Here is a 26,232-nt window from a genome sequence, read left to right as displayed (position 1 = left end):
TCCCAACCTTCTAGAGCCAGTTCCTCTGGGGTCAGGGAGGAAACAGTTGTCACATCACCATGCAGGTTACATTCATCTTCCACTGGGATGACTAGAGCCCCCAGGCAGTGGCCTGACTACAGACAAGCACAGGACTAGCTCCTGGGGGCAGACAGGCTCTCTTGCTTCTCCTCATTGGTCGTAGCTCAGCATGGCTCCTCCTCACAAGTCCTTAGTAAACAAAGCACTTGCAAAAACCCAAGTCACTATCTTTGAACTCTCTTGGATAAGGGGGGCTTTTCCACAGCTTAGACTGAGAACCTGTGCCCTAGAAGTGCTATTCTGACTAGAATGTATGAAGGGAGTGGGTGCAGAAGACAAAATGGCTAAAATGAAAATGGGAGCCACCGGTCCCCATCTGCAGCTGCAACTCAAGATGTCTATAGATGTGGTCAGTGTGACATGTTCAGGAGGGAGGGACAGATGGATGCAATGGGCAGGGAGGGTGCCTGTTTGCTGGCCTTCACTTCTTGGCTTTGCCCTGGGCAGCCACAACTTCCATGGCTTTGCACATGGTCTCTTCATCCCCTAGGAACTGCGTGGGCTGGGCTTGATGGGCTTCAAGTTCTTGTCCAATTCATAGACAATGAGAATGCCAGTTGGCAGGTTCAGCTCCATGATAGCCTCTTCAGAGAGACCCTTCAGATGCTTGTCAGTGCCCCAGAGGCTGTTGCCATGGGCTGCAGTCAGTACCCATTTCCCCTCCTTGATCTGGGGAAATACTTCTTCATTCCAGAAGGGCAGAGCTCTGGCAATAGTGTCCTTCAGACTCTCACAGGAGGGTAGGTGATTTTCTGTGAGGTCTGCATACCTGTGATCCTTACTGATGTTGCTGTAGAAAGGATGGTAGGGCTCCATCGGAGGTGGTGGGACATCATAGGAGCACCTGCAGATCTTCACCTGGGCTTCACTATGTTTTGCAGCAGTTTCTGCTTTATTGAGACCGGCTAGAGCCCCATAGTGCTGCTCATTGAGGCGCCAAGTCCTCACTATTGGCAGCTACATCTGATCAATGGCATCTAGCACTGTCCAGAAGGTCGGGATCGCTCTCTTCTGCAATGAGGTGAAGCAGATGTCAAACTCATAGCCAGCATCTCGCCGTGCCTGCTTTGCCGCCTCATGGCCCGCTGGGCTCAGGATGGCGTCGTACCAGCCGCTGAAGTGGTTCTCCAGGTTCCACTCACTCTCGCTGTGCTGGATCTGCACCAGTTTGTAGGTGGCCATGGTGGCAGGCTTGGGGGATAGCATTCTTGATTTGGCTCTCAGCTTGGATGTTGTTGGTGCACAGGGATTCTACTGATTTTTGTACATTGACTTTGTATCCTGAAGCTTTGCTGAAGTTGTTTATCAAACCAAGGAGCTTTGGAGCAGAGATTATGGGGTTTTCTGGGCATAGAATCATACTGACTGGAATCAGGGACAGTTTGACTTCCCCTCTATTCAGATGGCTTTTATATCTTTCTCTTGCCTGATTGCTCTGGCCAGGACTTCCAGTACTATGTTGAAAAGGACTGGTGAGAGAGGACATCCTTGTTTTGTTCTGGTGTTTAATAAGAATGCTTCCAGCTTTTGCTCATTCACTGTGATGTTGGCTGTGAGTTTCTTATAGATGGCTCTTATTATTTTGAAGTATGTTCCTTCAGTGCCTAGTTTGTTGAGGGTTTTTAACGTGAAGGGATGTTGAACTTTATCAAAAGCCTTTTCTGCATTTATTGAGATGATCATGTGGTTTTTGTTTTTAATTCTGTTTATGTGATGAATCACATTTATTCATTTGTATATGTTGAACCAAACTTGTGTCCCAGGGACGAAGCCTCCTTGATAGTGGTGGATTAGCTTTTTCATGTGCTGCTGGATTCATTTCACTAGGATTTTATTGAGAATTTTTGCATCTATGTTCATCAAGGATTTGGCCTGAAGTTTTGTTTTTTGTTGTTGTTGTGTCCCTGCCAGGTTTTGGTATCAGGATGATGCTGGTTTCATAGTTAGGGAGGAGTCCCTCCTCCTCTGTTTTTTGGAATAGTTTCAGTAGGAATGGTACCAGCTCTTCTTTATACTTCTTGTAATATTCAGCTGTGAATCCCTCTGGTCCCGGGCTTTTTCTGGTTGGTAGGCTTTTTATTACTGATTCAATTTTGGAACTCATTATTGGTCTCTGTCCAGGATTCAATTTCTTCCTGGTTCAATCTTGGAAGGTTGTATGTTTCAAGGAATTTATCCATTTCTTCTAGGTTTTCTAGTTTGTGTGCATAGAGGTGTTTTTAGTAGTCTCTGAGGGTTTTTTAAATTTTTGTGGGGTAGGTGGTAACATCCCTTTGTCATTTCTGATTGTGTTTATTTTGATCTCTCTTTTTTTCCTTATTAGTCTAGCTAGCATTTTATCTATCTTATTTATTCTTTCGAAGAACCAAGTCCTGGATTCATTGATCTTCTGTATGTTTTTTTGCGTCTCAATTTCCTTCAGTTTAGTGCAGATTTTGATTTCTTGTGTTCTACTAGCTTTGGGGTCGATCTGCTCTTGTTTCTCTATTTCCTCTAGGTGTGATGTTCGGTTGTTAACTTAAGATCTTTCTAACTTTTTGATGTAGGCATTCAGCTCTATAAACTTCCCTCTTAATATTGCTTTAGCTGTGTCCCAGAGATTCTGGTATGTAGTATCTTTGTTCTAATTAGTTTCAAATAATTTCTGAATTTCTACCTTAATTTCATTGTTTACCCAAAAGTCATTCAGAAGCAGGTTAATTTCCATTAATTTCTATTTTTATTGCACTGTAGTCTGAGAGTGTGGTTGGTATGATTTTTTTTTATTTGCTAAGGATTGTTTTATGGCTGATTAGTCAATTTTAGATTATGGGCCATGTGCAGATGAGAAGAATATATACACTCCTGTTTTTGGGTGGAGATTTCTGTAGATGTCTATTAGGTCTATTTAGTCAAGTGTCAAATTCAGGTCCTGAATTTCTTTGTTAGTTTTCTGCCTCAATGACCTGTCTAATACTGCCAGTGGGATGTTAAAGTCTCCCACTATTATTGTGTGGTTATCTAAATCTCTTTGTGGGTGTCTAAAAACTTGCTCTATGAATTTGGGTGCTCCTGTTTTGGATGCATATCTATTTAGGATAGTTAAGTCTGGCCTTTTGAGGTGAACCCTTTACCATTATGTAATGCCTTTCTTTATCTTTTTTGATTTTTGTTGGTTTAAAGTCTGTTTTGTTTGAATGTAGAATAGCAACTCCTGCTTTTTTCTGTTTTCCATTTGCTTGGTAGATTTTTCTCCATCCCTTTAGTTTGATCCTATGTGTGTCACTGCATGTGAAATGGGTCTATTCAAGACAGCATACTGTTGGGTCTTGCTTCTTTGTCCAACTTGCCACTCTGTGCCTTTTAATTGGGCATTTAGCCCATTTACATTTAAGGTTAATATTGATATGTGTGGATTTGAAGGATCAAATCCTGTTTTGTGTTGTTAATTGGTTATTATGCAGATCTGTTTGTGTGGTTGCTTTTTGGCATCAATGGTGTGTGTACTTAAGCACGTTTTTGTAGTTGCCAGTAATAATCTTTCCTTTCCATATTTAACACTCTCTTTAGGACCTCTTATAAGGCAGGTCTGATGGTAATGAATTCCCTTAGCATTTGCTCGCCTGAAAAGAATCTTATTTCTCCTTCATTTATGAAGCTTAGTTTGGCTGGATATGAAATTCTTGTTTGGAATTTCTTTTCTTTAATAATGCTGAATATAGGTCCTCAATCTCTGCTGGCTTATAGAGTTTCTGCTGAAAGGTGTGCTGTTAGCCTGATGGGGTTTCCTTGGGAGGTGGCCTGCCCCTTCTCTTTAGCTGCTGTTAACATTTTTTGTTTTGTTTTGACCTTAGAGAATCTGACAAGTATGTGTCTTGGGGATGGTTATCTGTATAGTATCTCACAAGGGTTCTCTGCATTTTCTCAATTTGAATGTTGGCCTCTCTAGTGAAGTTGGGGGAATTTTCATGGATGATATCCTGAAATATGTTCTCCAAGTTGCTTGCTTTCTCTCCCTCTCTTTCAGGGACATCAGTGAGTCATAGATTTGGTGTCTTTACATAATCCCATACTTTGGAGATTTTGTTCATTCTTCTTTAATCTTTTTTTCTTTATTTTTGTCTGACTGAGTTATTTCAGAGAAGTGATATTCAAGCTCTGAGATTCTTTCCTCAGCTTGATCGATTCTGCTGTTATATTTGTGATTGTATTCTGGAATTCTTGAAGTGAGTTTTTCAGCTCTATCAGATCAGTTCTGTTCTTTCTTAAAGTGGCCATTTCGTCTTTCATCTCCTGTATCACTTTGTTGTAATCCTTAGAATCCCTGGATTAGGTTTTCACTGTCTCCTGAATCTCAGTGATCTCTGTTCCTATCCACATTCTGATTTCTCTTTTTGTCATTTCAGCCTGGTTAAGAACCATTGCTGGGGAACTACTGCAGTTGTTTGGAGGTAAGAAAGTACTCTGACTTTTGAGTTGCCAGAGCTCTTGCACTGGTTCTTTATCATCTGTGTGGGCTGATTTTCCTTCAGTCTTTGAAATTGCTGTCCTTTGGATAGTTTTTTTTTTTTTTTTTTTTTTTTTTTTTTTTTTTGCCTCTATCTTCTTTGATGCCCTGGAAGGTTTGAATCTCATATAAGGTGGGTTCAGTTGACTGGCTTCATTTCTGGAAGAATTTAGGGGGTAAGGCTCAGCTCAGAACTTTTGGGCTGTATGCTGCAACTTTGGGAGGCTGTTACTGGATCTCTGACTTTATTCTCTGGCCCCTTGAGGTTAGGAAACTGCTAAAGTGGAGGCGCTAAGGTGTTCCTGCACCTCTGGCCACAATACTCTGATGGGTGGTGCCAGCCAAACCACTTTGTTGGGGTGGTGGCAGCAGGATCTGTGCTCATTTGTAAGTGCCAAGAGCAGTGCCAAGAGCAAGTGGCAGTGTGGTGGGGTGAATGCTCATCAACTGGGGCAGAGTGCTGGTGGCCATGGGGCTGCCGGCCTCCATGTGCACGCTCATGCTGGTAGCAGTGTCAGTGCAGGGGCAGGCTAGTGGTGAGCGTGGGGCTGCCAGCCTCCATGCATATGTTCACACTGGCAGCAGTGGCAGCGTGGGGCAGGGGGTGGGGCTGCTGACCTCCATGCACATGTTTGCATTGGCATTTCTATATTTTAAAAGGAAATAGTTTGGCAGTTTCTGATAAAGGTGAACTAGCACTATATGACCCTAGAGAAATAAAAACTTACGTTCATACACAAACCTACACATGAATGTACATAGCTGCCTTATTTGTAATAGCCAAAAACTAGAAGCAGCCCAAATGACCTTGATTAGGTAAATGAATATACAAATTGTGTTACATCTAGATCATGGAATTCTATTAAGCAATAAACAGGAATGCACTATTGATGCACTTGGATGGATCTCAAGAGCATCATGCTGTGTAAGAAAAAGCCAATTTCAAAAGATTACTACTTTACAATTTCATTTATATAACATTATAAAAATGACAAAATTACAGTGAAACAGAACAGATATAGTGGTTCCCAGAGGTTAGGATTGAAGAGAGGGAGTACCTGTAAAGGAATAATACAAAGTATATCATTCCAAGTTTATTTAGGGTGATGGAAAAGTTCTGTATTTTGATTGTGGTGGTGGTTAAATGCATATATACATGTGAGAAAATTTTATAGGAGTGTATATAAAAATTGAGCGCATGTAAAAACTGGTGAAATTCAAATAAAGACTATAGCTAATAGTATGTATTCATATCCTGGTTTTGATAATTGCAGTATACGTAGGTAAAATATTTTGGGGAAAGTTAGGTAAAGAGTACATTTGAACATGGAAATTCTGTACTATTTTTGCAACTTCTAAGTAAGTCTAAAGTTATTCCAAAATAAAACATTGAACATCTTTTATAATAGTTACATTTATTTTCTTTCCTTTCCTTTCTTTCCCTCCCTCCTTCCCTCCCTCCCTTCCTTCCTTCTTCCCTCCCTTCCTTCCTTCCTTCCTTCCTTCCTTCCTTCCTTCCTTCCTTCCTTCCTTCCCTCCTTCCTTCTTTCCTTCCTTCCTTTCTCTTTGTCTCTCTCTCTCTCTGTCTTACTCTGTTGCCCAGGCTGCAGTACAGTGGTGCAATCATAATTCACTGCAGCCTTGAATTCCTGGGCAGAAGTTACCTTCTCCTATCAGCCTCCTGAGTAGCTGAGACTACCAGTGTGTTCCACCACACCCAGCTATTACAGTTTTTTTTGTTTGTTTTTGTTTTTGTTTGTTTTTTTTGTAGAGATAGGGTCTCATTATGTTGCCCAGGTTGATGATTTTGAACTCCTAGGCTCAAGTGATCCTCCTACCTTGCTCTCCCTTTAAAGTGCTGGGATTACAGGCATGAGCCACTGTGCCTGGTATGTTTTCTTTTAGACTTTAGACAATGGCCCCTAGAAGGAGGGAGATTTGGGGACAGGAATCGAATCATATCACATGGCTTATTAATTTTCAAGTGGAACCCCTTTACTTATGTTTCAAAGTGAGGAAAATAAGAAGTTCTTTGCCAGTTCTGGCCAGTGGAATTAGAATATTTGCTTTCATGGCATCAGATACCATCTAGTACATGCTGAAAATACGGATCTTGAAAAGACAGTTGCTAATCTATGTAATATGGTTTTCCACTGATCTGTTAAGAAATTCATTTTTCCTGCTCCTTCATTATTTCTCCACATGTAGATTAAACGGATTATACTATAATTAAATTTGACTCTAACAAGAGGCAGTGCTTTAGAGCAATGAGCTATTGGGAGGCCAGCATGCTATTCCTAGCTTTACTGCTGATTTATGGGCTAAGGACAAAGCACCCCCACTTCACAGTGCCTCGACTTTTCCATCTATAGAGTGAAGTAAACAATGTCTCAGAGGGACATGGTGCTGCTTTATAAGCTCTATATTCTAATTGAGCTCCAAATTCCTTTATAGAAAGGTGCTCTTTGAAGAACTAAAGATGTATTTATATTGTTGTTGTGACTCTTAATAGAAATGAAGCTTTAAAATCTAATTTTAAAAGTCTCCTCCTGCACAGTACATTATCCACGTTCTTAAATACTGCAATCAACTATGCACTGAGTTGCTCTGTGATATTTATTAAAAATAAAAAAGGCACCACAAAGACAAACTTGTAGAACATTTTCAAAGCCATGTGCAGGGGTTTAACTGCAGGACTTCCACAGAAGTTAATGGGACTCATACTGGCAAATTGCAGGCACCACTTTGAAAATTTACCCCATAGTGACAGTTTAATGCTTCTTATTGATCATACAGTTTCAGATAACATCTCAAGGCAAAAAGGGACAATTTCTCAAAAGAAATAAACAATCTTTAATGAAATAATTCTGCACTGCAATCATCATAACTAAGAGTATGGAATAGAGTCCCTTGGCAAGGAGGATCTTAGGAACTGCTTACTGGTGATACCACTGGGGCTGTAAAAAAGTTTCCATCACATTCTAATTCCAGTTCCTCATAGAAAAATAACATTTTAAAAAACAATGTAAAATTTCATGTTTCTAAGGGCAGAAATATAGAAACAAAATTCAGAGGATTATTTCCTTATAAACTTATGTTTATGTTTTTTATAAACATAAATGGGTAATAATTTGTATATTGCTGATATGAAGTTCCAACAGGCATACATGACTAAAAAACCCAGGGCATTAAACAGCCATACTTTTTGTTGCCTGATTAATGCTGCTGTTCATAACCTGAATAGTATTCATATTAGGCCTGCCAGCAACCCGTAGGACCTTTGCCTGGTGGCCTGTCTTTAGAAGGAACCTTGATTCAGGGTAGCAGAGGCTACATGGCCTTCAGGGTGTGACCTCTGCCTGTCTCCCCTATCACCTTCTGCTATTCTCCCCACTGCTCATTGAGCTCCAGCCACGAGACCTTATGTCTCCACCTTGTACAACCCAAGCTCATCAAGTGTTAATAATCCTTGCAATTACTATTCCCTGGCCTGGAAAGATCTGTGTCTAAACCTCCTCATGGCTGGCTTCTTCTTAATATTCAGGTCAACTCAAGTGTCAACTACTTAGAAAGACTTTCTCAGACCACCCAAGCTAAGGTAGCCTCTACTCTTTCTGTTTTATTTTCTTCATTGTGCTTATCTGTAGATGACATTATCTTGTTTTTCAAAAACATATTTGTGTATTGTTTTTCTTCGTCCACACGAATATTATCTCTATAAGAAGGAAGACCTTGCCCATTTGGTGCCATACAGCCTCTCCAGCATCCATAAGCATGCTTGGACATGGTAGAAATTGTATAAATGTTCAGTGGATGACTCAAACATAATTTGAAAACCTGGGGGTAGTCCTTTGCTTCTTTGTTTTATACAATCACTCATGATATTCCATAGCCTTCTTTCTAGGACTACTTCAATTTCCATCACCTTTGCTCTGTAACACCATAATTATAGTATACCTCCTTTAAGTTTTGCCATTCTCTAAGGGCACAGGAGATTCTATTCTTACAGGCAGGGACCGTGTTTTAGTCGCTTTTGTATCCTTTATACTTAAGATTATGTTTGACACATAATAAATACCCTGTCTGTGAATGAATTTTCTTATGTAACATGTGATAGTACAGAATGTTAATACAGTATATCATAGTGCTCTACTAAAGTTTATAGAAAGAGTGGGAAATAATCCTTATTCATTTTCCTCTTCGGAAATAAATTTTCTTCATGTGGTCCAACCATATCAGCTAATCAAGCTGTCTTGTAAGTTCAACTTTCAAGTTTGTGTACCAGGTCAACAATTATCTAAATTACCGATAGTTTATTAATGTTAAAAAACATTTGAAGGTAGTCCTGCGAGTAATGTTACTTGCTCTCCAGAGGTCTCCAATTTGGAAATACACAGGGAGCCTCATGATAACAACAACTGAAGAGTATATGCAAGTTTGATACAGGTAAGTAAGTCTATTTTAGGTCCTAATTTCCCATTCAGGTTAGAGAGCAGCAATAGGTAACATAATTTAGTTGATATAATTAAGGCTGATACTGCAATTAATGTTCTATAAAGCCTGGCTTTTCTTTAAAGATCTTGAATTACTAATGATAAGCATAATAGTATCATGTTCTTCTGTTTACAAGTTGATGACAATAGATAAGGTTCAATTAAATTTAATTTTAAAATGCTAATAAACAGTAAAGACAATTTTCCAGTTGGGTATGTATATTTTTCTAGAGTGAAATCATGAGAAATAAATCCAGGTTCTTTCACCTATCATCTTTTTAAGTTTGTCTTGCTTCCTCATCTATAAAGTCTTCAGTCTTGTCTTACTTCCTCATCTATAAAATGGGACATTATAAAGGCCAGGCGTGGTGGCTCACACTTGTAATACCAGCACTTTGGGACGCTGAGGCGGGTGGATTACTTGAGGCCAGGAGTTCAAGACCAGCCTGGCCAACACGGTGAAATCCTATCTCTACTAAAAATGCAAAAATTAGCTGGGTGTGGTGGCGTGTGCCTGTAGTCCCAGCTACTCGGGAGGCTGAGGCATGAGAATGGCTTGAACCCAGGAGGCGGAGGTTGTAGTGAGCTGAGACTATGCCATTTGGACTCCAGCCTGGGTGATAGAGGGAAACTCTGCCTCAAAAAATAAAATAAAATAAAATAAAATAAAATAAAATAAAATAAAATAGAATAAAATAAAGTAAAGTAAAATAAAATAAAATAAATAAGGACATTATAGTACTTATGTAGAATTAAATAAGACCATATTTATAAAGTGCTTAAAGTAGTACCTAATATATAGTAGTTCTCAATAAATATCAGCTATTACTAACTAGAGGGATTAAAATTGTTTTAATGTTTTGTGATCAGCCAATCCAACAGGTTTTAATTGTCCTCAGATGGTCCAGTTAATCACATGGAAGGAATCTACATGCACTGAGGGAGTTTGAACACTTAGAAGTAATAAGTTGCAGAAGAGTGTATGACTAACAGAAAATAAGTGAAATAATATAATTTCTACTAAAGGGAAAAGGGAGTAGAAGGTATAGAAAATAATGCCATTGAAGAGTAAGTCTCTTAGAACAAAAGATAGAGAAGACAGAGAAACAGAAAAATGATGTCTCAAAATCAATTTAGAACACAGTGGCAGTTTTGGGAGTCTGATCTAACTTTTGAACACATTAGCAACTTAAGTTGCCTTTTAATAAGATGAAATCATAGATATATTAGAGTAGTCTCAGCCATGTGGTCGATTTTAATAAAGGCTTCAATTTTATTTTATCCACGTAGGATAAAATAAAATTTTATTTTATTCCTCTTTTGTCCTCTTGTGGAAATAATTACACTGAAAATAAACTGTTAAAATAACAATAAGAAATCAACTTACACTTAGCATCAAATGCAGATCCAAGACTAACAACAGGCTGGTATTTTCTCACTGAGACTCCCTGCAAGACTGAAAAATATGGCCCTGTTATATCTGCCTTTGGAAAGCGTCACCAAGGAATCTAAAAAAAGCCACTGTGAGAAGTAATTTGTTGGCTTCCTGACACATCAGGCTCATTATTGTGACCCAAGTTTCAGCCTTAGGTCTATTTGCAATTTTTGGGTAGGTCAGTAATGAAAGCTAGAAAAAAGAATGACTATGAAATCAGTCTTAGAGGTTATTCACAAATTCTTTATGCCGATGTTATTGGGTGAGTGTTTTGTGTTTTCACATAGAGAAATCATAAAGCAGCCAGTCTGGGTAAATGAAGGGCAGCTTGGGTGGTCATCCCAAAACACACTTGACTATCCACATCAGCAATACAGCAATTAGTGCTCATAGCTATAGAATGTTATTATGACAGAAGAGTCTTAGGGGAGAGATAAAAATTGAACACATAGATATGAGGAAGAATTTTATGTTCTAGATAAGATTTTACTAATTTTCAAAGCAAATGCTTAAAACCAAGCAGACATACATCAATGTACAGTAGTAATGAAACAAAGTACCTAATTAAAAAAAGTTAAATAGATTTATTTCTTCCCTTATGTTATAATTGTTTAAAATATGTTTTCCAAACACAAATATGTAATGATTTTAGGATTTGTGAGATCAGTGGGCTTTTGAAATGCTCTTGGTTTTGGCTAGAGTGCAGGGGTAAGGAAGGTGGGCAGTTCAGAAGGGGACATGCTAAAACCTTCAGTAATTAGCCCATAAAACCTCTATCAATTGGGCCTTTGTCAATAGGGTGCAATAGTACATGGGGCTTGTTAGCTGACCACTCTAGCAGCTTCAGTGTATTTCCAACTGGAAAGAAAAACATTGGTGTGCTTACAGAAAGCATTTCCCAGGTTGAAGGCACAGCCAGTCTACCACAATCTTTTCTATGTTCTTTTCTCGAATGCTCAACACTTCTAAAAATATTTGGGTGTGTACTTGGAATGTTCAGAGTAATCAAATCTTACAAATACATGAAGTTTTGGGAGGTTTTAGCTATATTTCCAAACACCCATTCAGAACAGTTATCAGGGACAGATAAGAGATGCTATTTCTTTTTTCATTTTGTCACAGTAAATTAGGTTGAACAAGGCGACTACAGTGTTCACTTTAGTATTTTACCAGTTACATCAAGCGTTTTTATGAACCTGTTGAACGGGCCTAGAAATAGTCTCAACAGTCATCTGGTACAGCTTGCTGCCTTCAGGAAGGTGATGTTTGATTCCTTTGTGTAGGTTAAATTTTACTGACCTCATACTGATAAGCCACATTTGAACATGCTTCACTATAACATCCATTCAGCTGGACCATGGGTCAAACATGTACATTTAATAAAAGACTAAAAAATTCATAATTATCCTAACTGTAAGTACAAATCTAGACTTTGTTCTAATGGGGATTCATTATATATTTATCCATGAAATTTTCTTCCAAAGCAATTAATTTCCTAGAGGTAAAATATCTAAATAAAGAAAAGGTCTGAAGGGTTAACAAAACTGCAATTATGCCTAAACCATGTCATACTAGTATTTTTTTGAGACAGGGTCTTACTCTTTTTACTCAGGCTGGAGTGTAGTGGCAGGAACATGGCTCACTGCAGCCTCAAACTCCTGGGCTCAAATGATCCTCCAGTCTCAGCCTTCTGAGTAGCTGGGACTACAGGTGTATGCCACCATGCCCAGCTAATTTTTAAATTTTTGTAGAGACAGGTCTTTCCATCCCAGGCTGGTCTTAAACTCCTGGGCTCAAGTGATCTGCCTTCCTCAGCCTTCCAAAGGGCTGGGATTACAGGCAGGAGTGACTGCGCCAGGCATCATACTAAATTTTTAAGGTCACTATTGATACATCCAAAGGCAAGTAAGATTATAGATAACATAACATCATTTTTAGAACTACATATTATATCAAGACCTGCAAGGATCTGAGGCAGGAAGAGAAAGACTAAAGGACTAAGATGTGTTGATGTATCCGTAGCTGAAAACAGCTATCAAAAGGCAGCAGACATCTGGGAAAAAGCTTTCTTTTTCGCATGGAGGCCAGAGATACATTGGCATTGCTTCTGAAATTGGAACAAAACCAATTTTTAATTGGTTTTAAAATCTGGAATGAAACATTTTTCCAGTCATCCATGAACTGACCTTATCCTGTAGAAGTTGAGTGAATCTTGGCTAACCATCTGCCTTGTGAATTGTTTTGTTTGGGCCCCTTATGGGACAGAAAGTACTTGTTGTGCAGTAGTTTCACATCAGGTTACAGTCCTTTGTAATGCTGCCTGAGTAGAGAATTCAGAGAGAAAAAAGCATCTCCAGGGAGAAAAATCTAATGCCTTCACTAATATGCCTTGGGGCTTTATGAACCTGCAAGGCTTGGAGTTACCACCGACTTTGCTCCATACCTTAGCATGATGGCTTCCAAAAAGCAGTAAAGCCTATTATTGGAGAAGACAGACAAACAGACTGCATTCGTGAGGGCCAAACAAGGTATTTTAAGATAGATTTAACTGAGAATTCCACTAGATTCACTATTGTAACACCAGTGCCTCACACACAGCCACATTTCCATAAATTCTGGTTTAATAAGTGGAGACTTTTGAGATGTGCATACTATGAAAGAAGTATGGAATAAAGGATTCTTCTTAACAGTGCCCATGGATGGTGATACACTTTCTTCCTTAAATCCACTCTGCCCCCACCATAGGGAACAGGAGTAAGGGAGGAAACTGAGAAGATTACGCAACAATTCCTGACTCCTAAAACAAAACAGAAAACCTGTGGTAGCTGTAGAAGATAGCCTAAACTATTTTGTAAATTAAAAACCTACTTTTTCAGGTTGAAAATAGTTGAAATAAATAAGCCTCATCAAGAATTTTCAGTATTTGGATTTGAATGGCTGCCTAGGAAGTGAGAAAGACAAAAAAGCAAGAGAGCCAAATTTAGCTACTAAATAATAATAATAATAGCTTTTATATATAGACTTTTCCATTTTATAATACTTTTAAATATTACTGGGAAATGCTAGATCTTAATTCCAGAATGCTCTATGGCATCTTCATTAGGAAGTACAATTTCAAGCTAGAACCCAGGTGAATGATGTCTCTCAGAAACAATGGCAGCTAGGGAGGTGCAGAGATGTGCTATGTATTTGGGTATTTTGGATTGGAGGGTGGGGGATTCATATTTCAGAGTGTAGAGCACTTTGTCCAGTCTACAGTTACCAATGCATTAAGCAAACCATACTTATAATCATTCTTGAAGAATGTTAATTGATATGCATTACCAGTACCAATGTATGGCTATCTATTCCAGCTGATCCAGAGCATAAACTGGTGTCATATTGTAGAGCAAAAAGGGTTTTTTATACTCACTGAAATCAATGTTCCCCTAAATTAGGGCAACACTGGAGAAACATGTATTTCCATATAAGTTAATTGATATAAGTGGGTATTCTAGAGCCAGATTGCCTGGCTAAAATTCAAGCTCTACCACTTAGTAGCTGTATGACATTCAGCAACTAACTCCGTCTCTCTTTGCCTCAAATTCTTCAACTGTAAAATGGGGATAATAAAAATATCTACCTCATAATGCTGTGGAGACAACATCAAATGAGTCAACATTTTCAAGACACAAGAGTGCCCGGTCCATGATAAGTACTCCATGGATGTTAGCTTTTAATATTAATCAAATATTGCAAAACAGGAGATAGAAGACAAGAATGTTGGTGTCATAGTCCAGGTATCTGAGACTCTGATATTCACCTATAACACAGAAGGGCTTTCGAGCAAACCTCAGTCTTCCTTGCCATCCTCTATATCGACAACAGCAACCCGCAGACCAGATTCGAATGATGAACTCCAAACCAAAGACGACAATCATCACGAACTCCTAAAATATCAGATAAGACATATCAGAGAGAAGCATTATGGAGCAAACCACAGTAAGAAGCTCTATGCATATTTTTGGACATTTAGGCACTTTGTCTAAAGGATCTAGTTGTTAATATCTAAAGTTAAGAACATTTCCTTTCTCCAGATCAAACTAAATCTGGACAGCATTTGAACCTCATACTGTCTGCATTTCCTATCATGGAATGCTATTCCTTTTCAAGTCATTAATGCTTCGTAAATTTGGGAGTCAGTTTCAATACTAAATGTGCAGGCTGAATAATGGATCTGTCTCGTCTGGAATTTATAGTGTAGCTGACTTTAGCTACCCAGTAACATGTGAAATATCTGAAATAAAATAGCGATCCTGAAATATAATGGCAAGTTTTACAGAAAATAGAGCTTCATTTTGCTGCAAGGAGTGACATAATCTCTAAATCTTCGAGAGTTGTTCTTAGAGAAAAAGAAGCAAATATTTCGAAGTATACTGAATTCTTTCGTTACAGTGTCAAAATCTCCTTATAAAACAGTAAGTTTCAAAAGCATTACAGTGTGACACACATATCCTTTGCCAGAAATGAGACCCTGAATCCTCCAGATCTGAAGCTTGTTAATTATTATGCTGCCCTTTGGCAAGAGCTGCCTAGAAAACAACACCTGCTCCAGGAAAATGACTGAGATTATTTAGGAAGAGTTGTGAGTTAACCCTGGGGAAAGGCCAGCTAGAGTGGCTCATTAAACAGTCGATGATAGAATGAAAAACCAAATGGAATTTGTAAAACGAAAGCATTTCTGGAGCAAGCTTAGCACAGTCACCTTGCTGTCTCTATAGGGACAGGCACTTTATTTATCAAAATTGTTTTTCCTTTAAAAAATAATTCACTTTCTTGTTTTAAAACGAGGGTTGATTCAAGATTTATAATGTAGAACAACATTTATAGATTGTTGTTATAATAGCTTAATTGTAAAAGTAATATATTGTCTTTATTAAAACTTCCAAACATCACAGAAATACAAAGCAGAGAAAGTAAACATTCTAACCTACTCCCCATTCTCCCATTCTTACTCGCAGGATAAAAACTGTTACCAAATTTATAAAAGTGGCATTTTTGTTGCAAATTTCAGGCAAATGTCTGTTTCTTTAATTAGAGCATGTGATGATATGCTGCACTTTTGAAATGCCTAGTAGAGCTATATCATTCTATCCTTCTCTTATTTTGCACTAAGTAATCCACAAATATTTCTCATGATGGGAAATAAATACCCAATATCATCACTGCTTACTCACAGTTATTCAAAATTACTTATAGGATAAACCTTCAAAGATGACTTTATGCACAGATAACCAAAATTAGGGTCAACATACATTCATTAATAATCCGAAGGTTTTGTTTGATTTTGGCTTTGTTTTGGTTTTGAATGTATATCTGGGTAGTTGAGTCTGTTCATTTATTAAGGTATCTAAAGTGCCAGATCATTTCTTGTTAATCCAGCACATCTTTCCAAATATGGAAAACATACTCAGGCCCAAAATGCCCATGTAGTTGTGCCTGTGCCCAACCTAGGTTGAATGGCAGATCCACTTTTTAATCCCTGCCCCTAATTCCTGCTTATGCCAGGACATTTGGCACTCCAGTTGTGAGTACTCATATTATAAGGGATCCCAAGAAAATCCCAAATGTGGCCTGAGCCCCCGAACACTACCGTGTAGTAATTTTTCTTTTTCATGGAAACAGATGACACCAATATGTCCATTGTTCTTAACAAATGACAGATATATGCCCATTGTTCTTAGGTATGCCAAGGTCACTGCACTATTCCTCTGCTGCAGTAAGGCAGGATAAAGTACATTTACAAGTTCTTTATTCAAGCCCTATTGTTCAGAAATATTGCTTGCTGCTTTTTTTTTTAAGAAGGTGAGGGGAAAATGACAAGACAGTCTCAAAATTCATAAAGCAAAACCAATAGGGCTGAAAGGAAAAATAGACAAATGTTAAGTCGTATTTGGGAACTTCATCAACCCACCTTATCCTTGCTCAGAACTATGGGCATAGCACTACTAGAATGAAAATTAACAAGTATGTGAACTATTTGAACAACACATTCAACCTGCAGGATCTGACTGATATGAGACATTTCACCCAACATCAGCAGAATACACATTTTTAAAAAGCACCCATGCACATTTATTAAGATAGATTATATTCCGGGTCATAAACAAATTTCAACAAGTTTAAAAGAATAAAATCAGACAGAATGTGTTCTCAAGCCACAATGGAATAAAACTAGAAATCAATAACAGAAAGACAACAAGCAAATCTCTAAACATGTGGAAATTAAACAATATTCCCAGTAGTCCATTGGTCAAAGAGAAAGTCTCAAAAATTTTTAAAAAATTGAACTGAATGAAAATAAAAAAATGACATAACAAAATATGTAGGATGCAGTAAAAGCAGTGCTGAGAGGAAAATTTATAGCACTAAATGCTTACATTATAGATGAAGAAAGTTCTCATATTAATAATCTGAGTACCTACCTCAAGAAATTGGAAAAAGAAGGGTAAAATAAACCCAAAGGAAGCAGATAGAAGGAAATAACATAGAAAAGAGCAAAAACTAATGAAACTGAAAAGAGGAAAACAATATGGAAAATCCATGAAACAAAAAAGTGGTTCCTTGAGAAAATCAATAAAGTTGATAAATCTCTTTCTTGAAAGCTGATGAAAATCCCCAATGTCAGGAATGTAATAGGGGATATCAGTATAGATTCTACGCCACTGAAAAAATGAAGGAGTACTATGGTAACTTTACGCACATACACTTGATAACTTAGAAGAAATGGACCAAATCCTTTAAAACTACAAGCTACCAAAACTCAACAAAGAAGAAATAGACAATCTAGGTAGCCCTATAACCGCTAAAGCAATTGAACTCATAGTTTAAAATCTCCCCAAACAGAAATGTCCAGGTCAAATGGTTTCACTGGCAAAATCAACCAGACATTTAAATAAGAATATATCATTTTCACACAATTTCTCCCAGAAAATAGAGGAGAAAAAACTTTCTCAATGATTTTATGAAGTCAGTATTATCCTGACACCAAAACCAGACAAAGACAATAAAACAAAGCAAAACAAAAACTACATACCCATATTTATCATAAACTTAGACACAAAAAATCCTCAGCAAAATATTAGCAAACAGTCAATCAGTCAATATATAGGCAAGTAGGATTTATTCCAGGTATGCAAGGCTAGCTCAATGGTTGAAATCAATCAATATAATGCATTATATAATAAAGCTAAAAAAAAATCATATAAATTGATGAAGAAATAGCATTTGACAAAATCCAACACCCATTTATGATTAAAAAAAACTCTTGGCAAGTTAGGAAAAGAGGTTTAACAGTTTAATTCGATAAATAGCATTTACAACAAACTTAACATCATACTTAATAGTGAAAGACTGAATGCTTTTCCCCAACATTAAGAACAACCAAGATGTATACTTTCATCACTCTTATTCAACATAGTATTGTAAGTTATATTAATAGTTGCTGCAATAAGCCAAATAAAAGAAAAAAAAAACATGCAGTTTGGAAAGGTAAACATAAAATGGTCTCTATTTACAAATGGCATGATGGTCTACAGAAAAATCCCAAGAAATCTACGAAGACACTCTTGAAACAAGTGAGTTCACTAAGGCTGCACGATGTATGATCAATATAAAAATTAATCATATTTCTTTATACTAACAATGATCATGTGGAAATGAAAATTAGAAACACAAAATTATTATTTATAATAATTCCAAATAAAAATAACTTAAATATCCACTTAGAAAAACACATACGGTTTATGTGCATTGAGATTATGAAATGCAGATAAAAGAAATCAGAAAAGACCTAAATAAGTGAGGAGAAATACCGTGTTTATGAATTGGAAGACTGATCATAGCAAAGATGTCAATTCTTCCCAAATTGATCTACAGGTCTAATAAAATTCCTGTCAAAATCTCAGCAAAGTTTTTTTTGGGGGGTAGATACAAACTTATTTTAAAATTTATATGGAAATGCACAGGACCTGGAATAGCTAAAACAATGCTGACAAAGAAGAATAAAACGAGATCAATCACTTTACCTGATATTAAAGCCTACTATTATAGCTCCAGTAATCAAGACTGTGGATTGGTGGAGGGATAGACATATGGAACATACAGACATATAGAACAGTGAACAGAATAGAGAATTCAGAACTAGACCCACACAAATATGCTCAATTGATTTGTTTTAAAGGTGCAAAAGCATTTCAATGGAGGAAGAAGGGCCCTCAACAAATGATGCTGGAAAAATTGGACATCTATAGGCAAAAAAGTGGACCTTAATCTATACTTCCTATCTTATGATAATCATTTAAAAATGGACCACGGGTTTAAAAATTAAACATAAAATAATAAAACTTTTAGGAAAAAAATGGAGATATTTTTGGGATTTGGACTAAGCAAAGAGTTCTTAATCTTGACATCAAAAGCAGAAGTTATAAAAGGAAAAAATGAGAAATTGGACTCCATCAAAAGTAAAAACTTACTCTGTGAGAGCCCAGGTACTAAGGATGAAAAGACAAGCCATAGACTGGGAGAAAATGTTTGTAAACCACATATCTGACAAAGGACTAATATCTAAAATATGTAAAGAAACCTTAAAACTCAACAGTAAAAAACCAAAAACTCAATTAGAAAATTGGCAAAGGTATAAATAGGATATTCATAAAAGAGGACATACATAAAAGAAGTTACACATATGGCAAAGAAGCACATGAAAAGTTATTTGACATCATTAGCCATCAGAAAAATGCAAATTAGATCGCAATGGTATCACTACACAGCTAGCAGAATGGCTAAAATAAAAAATAGTGGCAAAAAATAGTGACAACACAAAATGCTGGGGAGGATGCGGAGAAGCTGGATCATTCAAACACTGCTGATGGGAATGTAAAACAGTATGGTCCTTCTGAGCATGGTCGTTTCTTATAAAACTGGACATATAGTTACCATATGACTCAGCAATTGTACTCTTGGGCATTCGTGTCAGAGACATGAAAACTTATGTTTGTACAAAAACCTGTACATGAATGTTCACAGAAGAAGTATTCATAATGACCAGACCCCAAAAACAGCCCAGATGTCCTTCACCATGAGGATGGTTAAACAAGCTCTGGTGCCTCCATACCATGGAATGCTACTCAATAATAAAAATGAATGAACTATTGATACACAGAGTAACATAAATGAATTGCCAGGGAATTATATTGAGTGCAAGAAAAGTCAGTCTTAAAAAGTTATACACTGTATTATTCCATTTATATAACATTTTTGAAATAAAAACATTTCAGAAATGGAGAACAGATTAGTGGCTGCTGGGGTCAGGCTGGAGAAGGGAAGGGGTGTGCAAGTGTGAAGGAGAAGGTGGATGTGGTTAGCAAGGGGTAACTTGAGAGATCCTTGTGACAATGGAACTGTCCGATATCTTTTTTTTTTTTTTTTTTTTTTTTTTTGAGACAGAGTCTCGCGCTGTTGCCCAGAATGGAGTGCAGTGGTGCGATCTCGGCTCACTGCAAGCTCCACCTCCCTGGTTAATGCCATTCGCCTGCCTCAGCCTCCCGAGTAGCTGGGACTACAGGCGCCCACCACCACGCCCAGCTAATTTTTTGCATTTTTAGTAGAGACGTGGTTTCACCGTGTTAGCCAGGATGGTCTTGATCTCCTGACCTCGTGATCTGCCTGCCTCGGCCTCCCAAAGTGCTGGGATTACAGGAGTGAGCCACCGTGCCCGGCCGGAACTGTCCAATATCTTGATTGTTGTTTTAGATATACTAATCTCTGCAAGTGATAAAACTGTACAGAGCCAATACACACACACACACACACACACACACACACACACACACACACACAAATGTATTCAAGTAAAACTGGAGAAATCTGAATGAGATTTGTGAGCTGTATCAATATTATTATCCTGGTTGTGATATTATACTATAGTTTTACAAAATGTTACATTTTGCGGAAATTGGGTAAAGTATACACAGGGTATGTCTACTATATCTTACAACTGCATGTGAATCTACAATTATCTCAATAACAATTTAAATTTAAAAAAGCCATTGCCAGCAATCTAGACAATGGGATAGACTCGTAAGAGGAAATGTGTTCTTCAAATCCAGATGCTGGGTCTATTTTCACTGTGTTTTGTTTAGAGGTACTCTCTAAATCACCCTTTGGATGAGGTCTCATTGTTTTATTTTCATATGAGTTGAAAATACAAAAATCTGTTACATTCAGTCGAGATGATTTAAATTAGGGATGGTTCTTCTGACCCTTGCTGGGTAAGCCATGAGACAAGTTCTGGTGCCTTTGCTGCTGTACCTCAGGATAAAGCAGTTCATTTTCTCTTGCTTGGTTTTAGTTGAAATAAAATGCTCGCTATTTACTGAAATGGCAGCTAAAGAGATTAGTGAATAATATTCAGAATATTTGACTTGTTTGGAGGAAAGCTGTAGTGGAAACTTGATGTTATTAACAATGGTCCTGTCCTTCCTTATTTAAGCCCCTAGAAGCTTGGCTTGGATAACTCTTTACAAAAGCAAAGACAATAAATGTGTATTATTTTTATCACTCACCTTGTAGGAGTTACAATGGTTCCTCATTTGTCCTCACAGAATTTTGGTAAAACATAGAAGAATTTTCTTATTCTTCTTAAATGATAAGGAAATTAAGAAGCCTAAGAGGCAGTGGTGGCCGGGCGCGGTGGTTCACACCTGTAATCCCAGCGCTTTCGGAAGCCGAGGCGGGTGGGTCACGAGGTCAGGAGATCGAGACCATCCTGGCTAATAAGGTGAAACCCCGTCTCTACTAAAAATACAAAAAATTAGCTGGGTGTGGTGGCGGGCGCCTGTAGTCCCAGCTACTCAGGAGGCTGAGGCAGGAGAATGGCGTGAACCCGGGAGGCGGAGCTTGCAGTGAGCCGAGATCATGCCACTGCACTCCAGCTTGGGCAACAGAGCGAGATACTGTCTCAAAAAAAAAAAAAAAAAAAAAAAAGAAAAGAGGCAGTGGTAGAGCTAGTCTTGAATTTTATCTACAATATGTATTGAGAATACCAATCCATATTAACCCTCTTTTCCAGGCATTAAAGAAGCCTCTTCATATGTCACACCTGAGAACTGTGATTCAATTTAATTGATACATATAACTCTGCTGTACCATTTGAGGTTTAAATTATGTTCTTGCCGTTATTTTGTTTTTTAGCTACTTAAAATTGTTTTAGGCAGATTGATTTTTTGGGTACAAATTCACAATGCTTAAAAGCTCATGTACCAGTTGTTTTCTCATTAATTAACAGCACTGTTCATTAAAACACAGTGACCTTTGTCTAATCTACAAGCTGTCTTCTGTGACCATTAGTTTTTTCTGGTTTTATGCCATCAAATAGCATTTTCGTGAAGATGAAATGCCGACATTATAAACCCTGTGACATTTGCAGCAATTCTTGAAGAGCTGTGGCTAATTAGACATACATAATTAGAACTATTGCTTTTATTCAGAATATCAACATAATCAATTCCCAGCTGTTTTTGTTCCTTTTTGTGTGTGTGCATATACTTAAAGTAACATAGGGCTAGCAGGTCAACATGCCTCTTTACATAATCCCTGCAGGGAAAGAATTTGTGATGTAAACTGCATCATAAAATGCAAAAAAAAGGCATCAGTCAGAAGAGTTGCAGTTATAATTCTATGTAATTTGGAAAATTCTACTAGTATAACACATATTAGGGGAATGAAATTAAGATCTAGAGATGGCTCCAAACTTAAACCAAAATGTGGAAATACACAAAAGTAAATATCTTCCGGAATTGTGTCTCTTTGGAGAGCAGAAAAATATCCTAAAAACATGCTTACTAACTATAACTTATAGAACATCACATACCATCATCAATCCAGCTAGCTTTCAAGCTTCTCCTTACTTTTTGGGAAGGTATATTAGTGTATTGGAAGAGAATTTGAGGGAATGAATGTTTTTACCAAAGGGACTAATTTGACCTGGTGTTGAGGACACATGGATATTTACAGAATCATTGCTGCACAGAGGTGGTTGTGAGAGCGTGACAGAACTTCACTAAGTTGGCTAGTAGATGCTTCGGGGGTGGGTATGGGGGGAAGGGGGTCATAGAAGTGGGAGTGGGGTGGAGATAGGGGAAATTAGATTAAGGTGTGAAGGGGTATGGATGCTTCCTGCCTTGGAAAAAAATGACTGAGGTAGTTTTGACAGACAGTGTCACTGCGGCTAGTCTCATTGATTGGAAGGCTTAGGTAGATATGATAGATGAATTTGTTTGAGTAGCTCCAGCAAAATCTAGTGTCTTAGTGGGTCTTTCCCCTTGGGATTAGTTGATTCCTGAAATTTCTTTATAAATGATTTATCCATTCAAGTTTTTCACACCTGTTAATATATAAATCTGCTCCTGAAAAGTAATTCATTTAACCATACCTAAATAACAATGTTCATTTATCCCAGAGGTTCTTCAGAAGATCATAGGGAGGCAATAGTTTGAAAATGCCCCATTCCAAATGACTGATTGACACTTTGTTACTAAGGAAGGATCACGGCTGGTTTTTTATCAGGTATTGAGGCCATAAATTGAGACCATATGGGCTGGAGGCAGGAAGTGGGTGCCCCCTGCTTGGGGAAAAGAGGTGGGAACAGCAGGACATTCCTGGTTTACCCCTCGCTGCCTACCTGGAGTGGCCCTATGCATCCCAGTTACTAGTTGGGATGCCATGATGAGAGGACTTCCGTCCTCTCTTGTAGTGATTTTAGATCCTTAGGGATGGGTTGGCTCTTGTCAGCAGCTATAATGCCTGCCTAGTATGAGCAGCCACCCAGATGATCCCTTCTGCCTTTACGTTTTATGTTCTGTAAGTCACATCTGCATCAGGGCACAGGATGTCTTAGGCTTTCCCCTTCACCTGCCACAGGTGAAGTCTGCCCATGGGACCAAGCTGAAGTGGTGCCCTTTGTGGAGGAGCCTTACTGAGGTTTTTTTTGTTGTCCATCCTCCCCCATCCTAAACCTATTTATACCTTAATTGGTTTGAGGTTTCTATTTGGGTGTGTCTGCATGCCCAAATGATTCATGTATGAATCATAAACACCAAGCTGGAAACATTGAAAATGGCTTGCTGTACCTTGAACTGGACCCAGATATGTATTCTGTTATGATTTTGTAAAATAATCACAAATTAACCAGTGCAACTTAGAATCGAAGATCAATGTCCTGAATCAGATCAAAATGGAAACACCGAAAGTGTCTCCAAAATGAATGAAATCAAACCAAGTTTTCATTTGATTCAAATTGCTAATTTGTCTACTTCTCACTAATCTATAGGCTTTTCTTCCTCTTAAGAACTACATGAGGCTGGGAGCAGTGGTTCATGCCCATAATCTCAGCACTCTGGGAGACCTTGGTAAGCAGATCACTTGAGGTCAGGAGTTTGAGACCAGCCTGGTTAACATGGTGAAATCCGGTCTCTACTAAAAATACAAAAATTGGCCAGGCATGGTGACAGGTGCCTGTAATCCCAGCTACTCAGGAGGCTGAGGCAGGAGAATTGCTTGAACCTGGGAGGTGGAGGTTGCAGTGAGCCGAGATCAAAATTAAAATTTAAGATACACAAATTTAAATAAAATTCCTTAAAACAAACAAGTATTTCTATTTAGAGAGCTATCCTGACCTTGAGAAATTAGTACATGTCAGCCAAGTTGACTATAAAACAGATCTTATCTTCTCATATTGGTGATATTTGTCCTGTGGATTGAAGTGGATGCTTGTGTCAAGATAAGAGATAGTACGGCTTCCATGCTACTGAGAGTGAGAGGCAGGTCAGGGCTGGGCATGTTCTTAGAGAACTTTCAGAATTTTTATCTTTTCTTACGGAGGAGTTATGTCTCTGTTCTTATAGCTGCCCTTCTTTGGACCAAAGGAATTGCTCTTATACTGGGAGGTCCCTTGATTTCCAGAAAATCTGCTTCTTCCTTCTTCCTTGAGGGTATTTACAGAGTTTCATATAGCTAACTTCTCTGCAATGTTGACTTCATTTCTAGATGTTCTGCTTTTCATGAATTCATTTTATAAATGTCTACCGAATACCATAAACATGCAGGATATAAAGATCAGCAATGTGTTCTGTCACCCTCGAGGAGTTTATAATCTATTGGGGGAAGATAAGACACACCACTAGAAAACTCACAAAATCTCGTGCCAGAAATTCTGCTGAGTGCTGGTTTCTAGAGAAATGCCTTACCCATTGTCGTAGCCCCTCTGCTTAGAGCAGGCCCTAGCCAAATGTTTGTTGAAGTTTCCTTCAGTTCACGGCTTCAGGCTCAGCACCACCCAATTAGCATACTGTTTTATTATCTATTAAAATCAAAATTCTCAAAAAGAGCTAGCTGGAGGTGGAAAAATGAGAATAACTTAATTGGCCTATGATTTTCATTTCTGACCTGTCTATTCAGCTTTATGACACTAATTGCAATGAGAGGGTGAATGGCTTCTTACTGCAAGATGTCTTAGTGACAGTGTGGGCTTATTTTGATTAATGTAAGCTGGAGGACAGTAACTACCTAATTTCACTCCTATGGTTTCTACCACTGAATGATTTTATTTTCATTTGTTGTTACCCGATACCTCTTCTCTTTTTACATTTTACTAGCCTGAAAGGATTTTTCACTAATGGTTACACCGTTGTTCTTAAGACAAGCTGTGGGGGAAAGAAAGTGAGAGACAGTTTATCCCTTTTATTTAAGCATATTTTAGGCAGAATCTCCAAATGTCTTAGTTCTTGGAGGAAATGGAACTTCAGGGTGGAGCCAGAGTGGCTCCTGAAGGCTAAGCAGAAGTGGCCAGTGTGTTTTATTTACTCAGTAACCAGGAAAGCAAAGGCTGTGTTGATGAAGGGGTAGAACCCCGAAAAGCTCAACTGTTGAGCTGTCAGTGGGGAAGACATTCTGCTTGTTGGTAGAATGTGAAAAACCCGGAAGAAATGGAAACCTTTGGGATCATGGCTTTCAGAGGAGAAAAGGGTATTGGCAGGGTAGTGTTGGAGTCCTGTAGAAATCAGATACAATCTTGCTTTGTTTCCCTGCCCCTAGTCTTCTTGTGGACTGCCATGTGCCACTGGGAGAAATCTCCTTGCCTCCTCAGGTCATTTGACCAAATTCCTTCTAGACTTCCTAGCAAAACAGAAAACATTTTGAATCAAAACCTAGTCTTGCCTTCCTCCTCTTCTACCTATGATGATTATTTTCCTTTATAAGCACCAAAGTGCATTTTATTACCTAAGATTATTTATTTTTCCCATTACCAAAGTATGTGTTATTGGTGTAAATGTACTTTGTGGCAATATGAGTAATATCCTTTGGTGAGCTTTGAGAGGTAGGAAAACACATCTTTCTGTGCACATTGCATGCACACTAGTATGCTCACTTGCTTTCAGAACTTGATATTGAAACTCAGTCAGTTAGGCTCATGCAAAAGAACAGGAAAGGCAGAAATCTCAGAATAAAAACTGACAGGAGGCCCTGTTAACAGAACATATCACCACCAATAGAAACTGCATATTAGCTCTCAGTGCAATTTCTAATAAACATAAAGAAGTTAACTATCCTCAAAGTATATAAATCAATGGCATTGTAACAATATTCCATTAATCACACTTTCAAAATTAAGGAAAATTTAAAGTTTTCTGCTGCTTTGA

The 26,232-nt window shown here is 38.0% G+C and overlaps 1 protein-coding gene and 1 pseudogene across 9 annotated transcripts in view, besides 1 other annotated feature; both read right to left on the bottom strand.

Annotated features, from left to right (window-relative positions):
* KCNQ5 (potassium voltage-gated channel subfamily Q member 5) overlaps positions 1–26,232 on the bottom strand; it is a 576,790-nt gene that overhangs the window by 142,494 nt on the left and 408,064 nt on the right. For all 9 annotated transcript variants that reach the window (NM_001160133.2, NM_019842.4, NM_001160134.2 and 6 more), the window contains exon 3: positions 14,298–14,424. In NM_001160133.2, coding sequence (NP_001153605.1) covers positions 14,298–14,424 — 127 coding nt within the window. The remainder of the gene's footprint in view (positions 1–14,297; positions 14,425–26,232) is intronic.
* Positions 308–1,282, bottom strand: PGAM1P10 (phosphoglycerate mutase 1 pseudogene 10; annotated as a pseudogene).
* Positions 22,962–24,161: an enhancer, noted in NCBI's record as "CDK7 strongly-dependent group 2 enhancer chr6:73741922-73743121 (GRCh37/hg19 assembly coordinates)". NCBI's record gives its function as "activates an origin of replication core promoter dependent on BRD2, BRD4, P300/CBP, MED14 and CDK7 cofactors, with strong dependence on CDK7, by STARR-seq in HCT116 cells {active_cell/tissue: HCT116}" and the evidence as "EXISTENCE:reporter gene assay evidence [ECO:0000049][PMID:35650434]".

This window comes from Homo sapiens, chromosome 6, assembly GCF_000001405.40.
Source record: "Homo sapiens chromosome 6, GRCh38.p14 Primary Assembly".
Lineage (NCBI taxonomy): Eukaryota > Metazoa > Chordata > Mammalia > Primates > Hominidae > Homo > Homo sapiens.
Note: the sequence above shows the minus strand (reverse complement) of the source record. Positions and strands in the feature narration are given on the sequence as shown.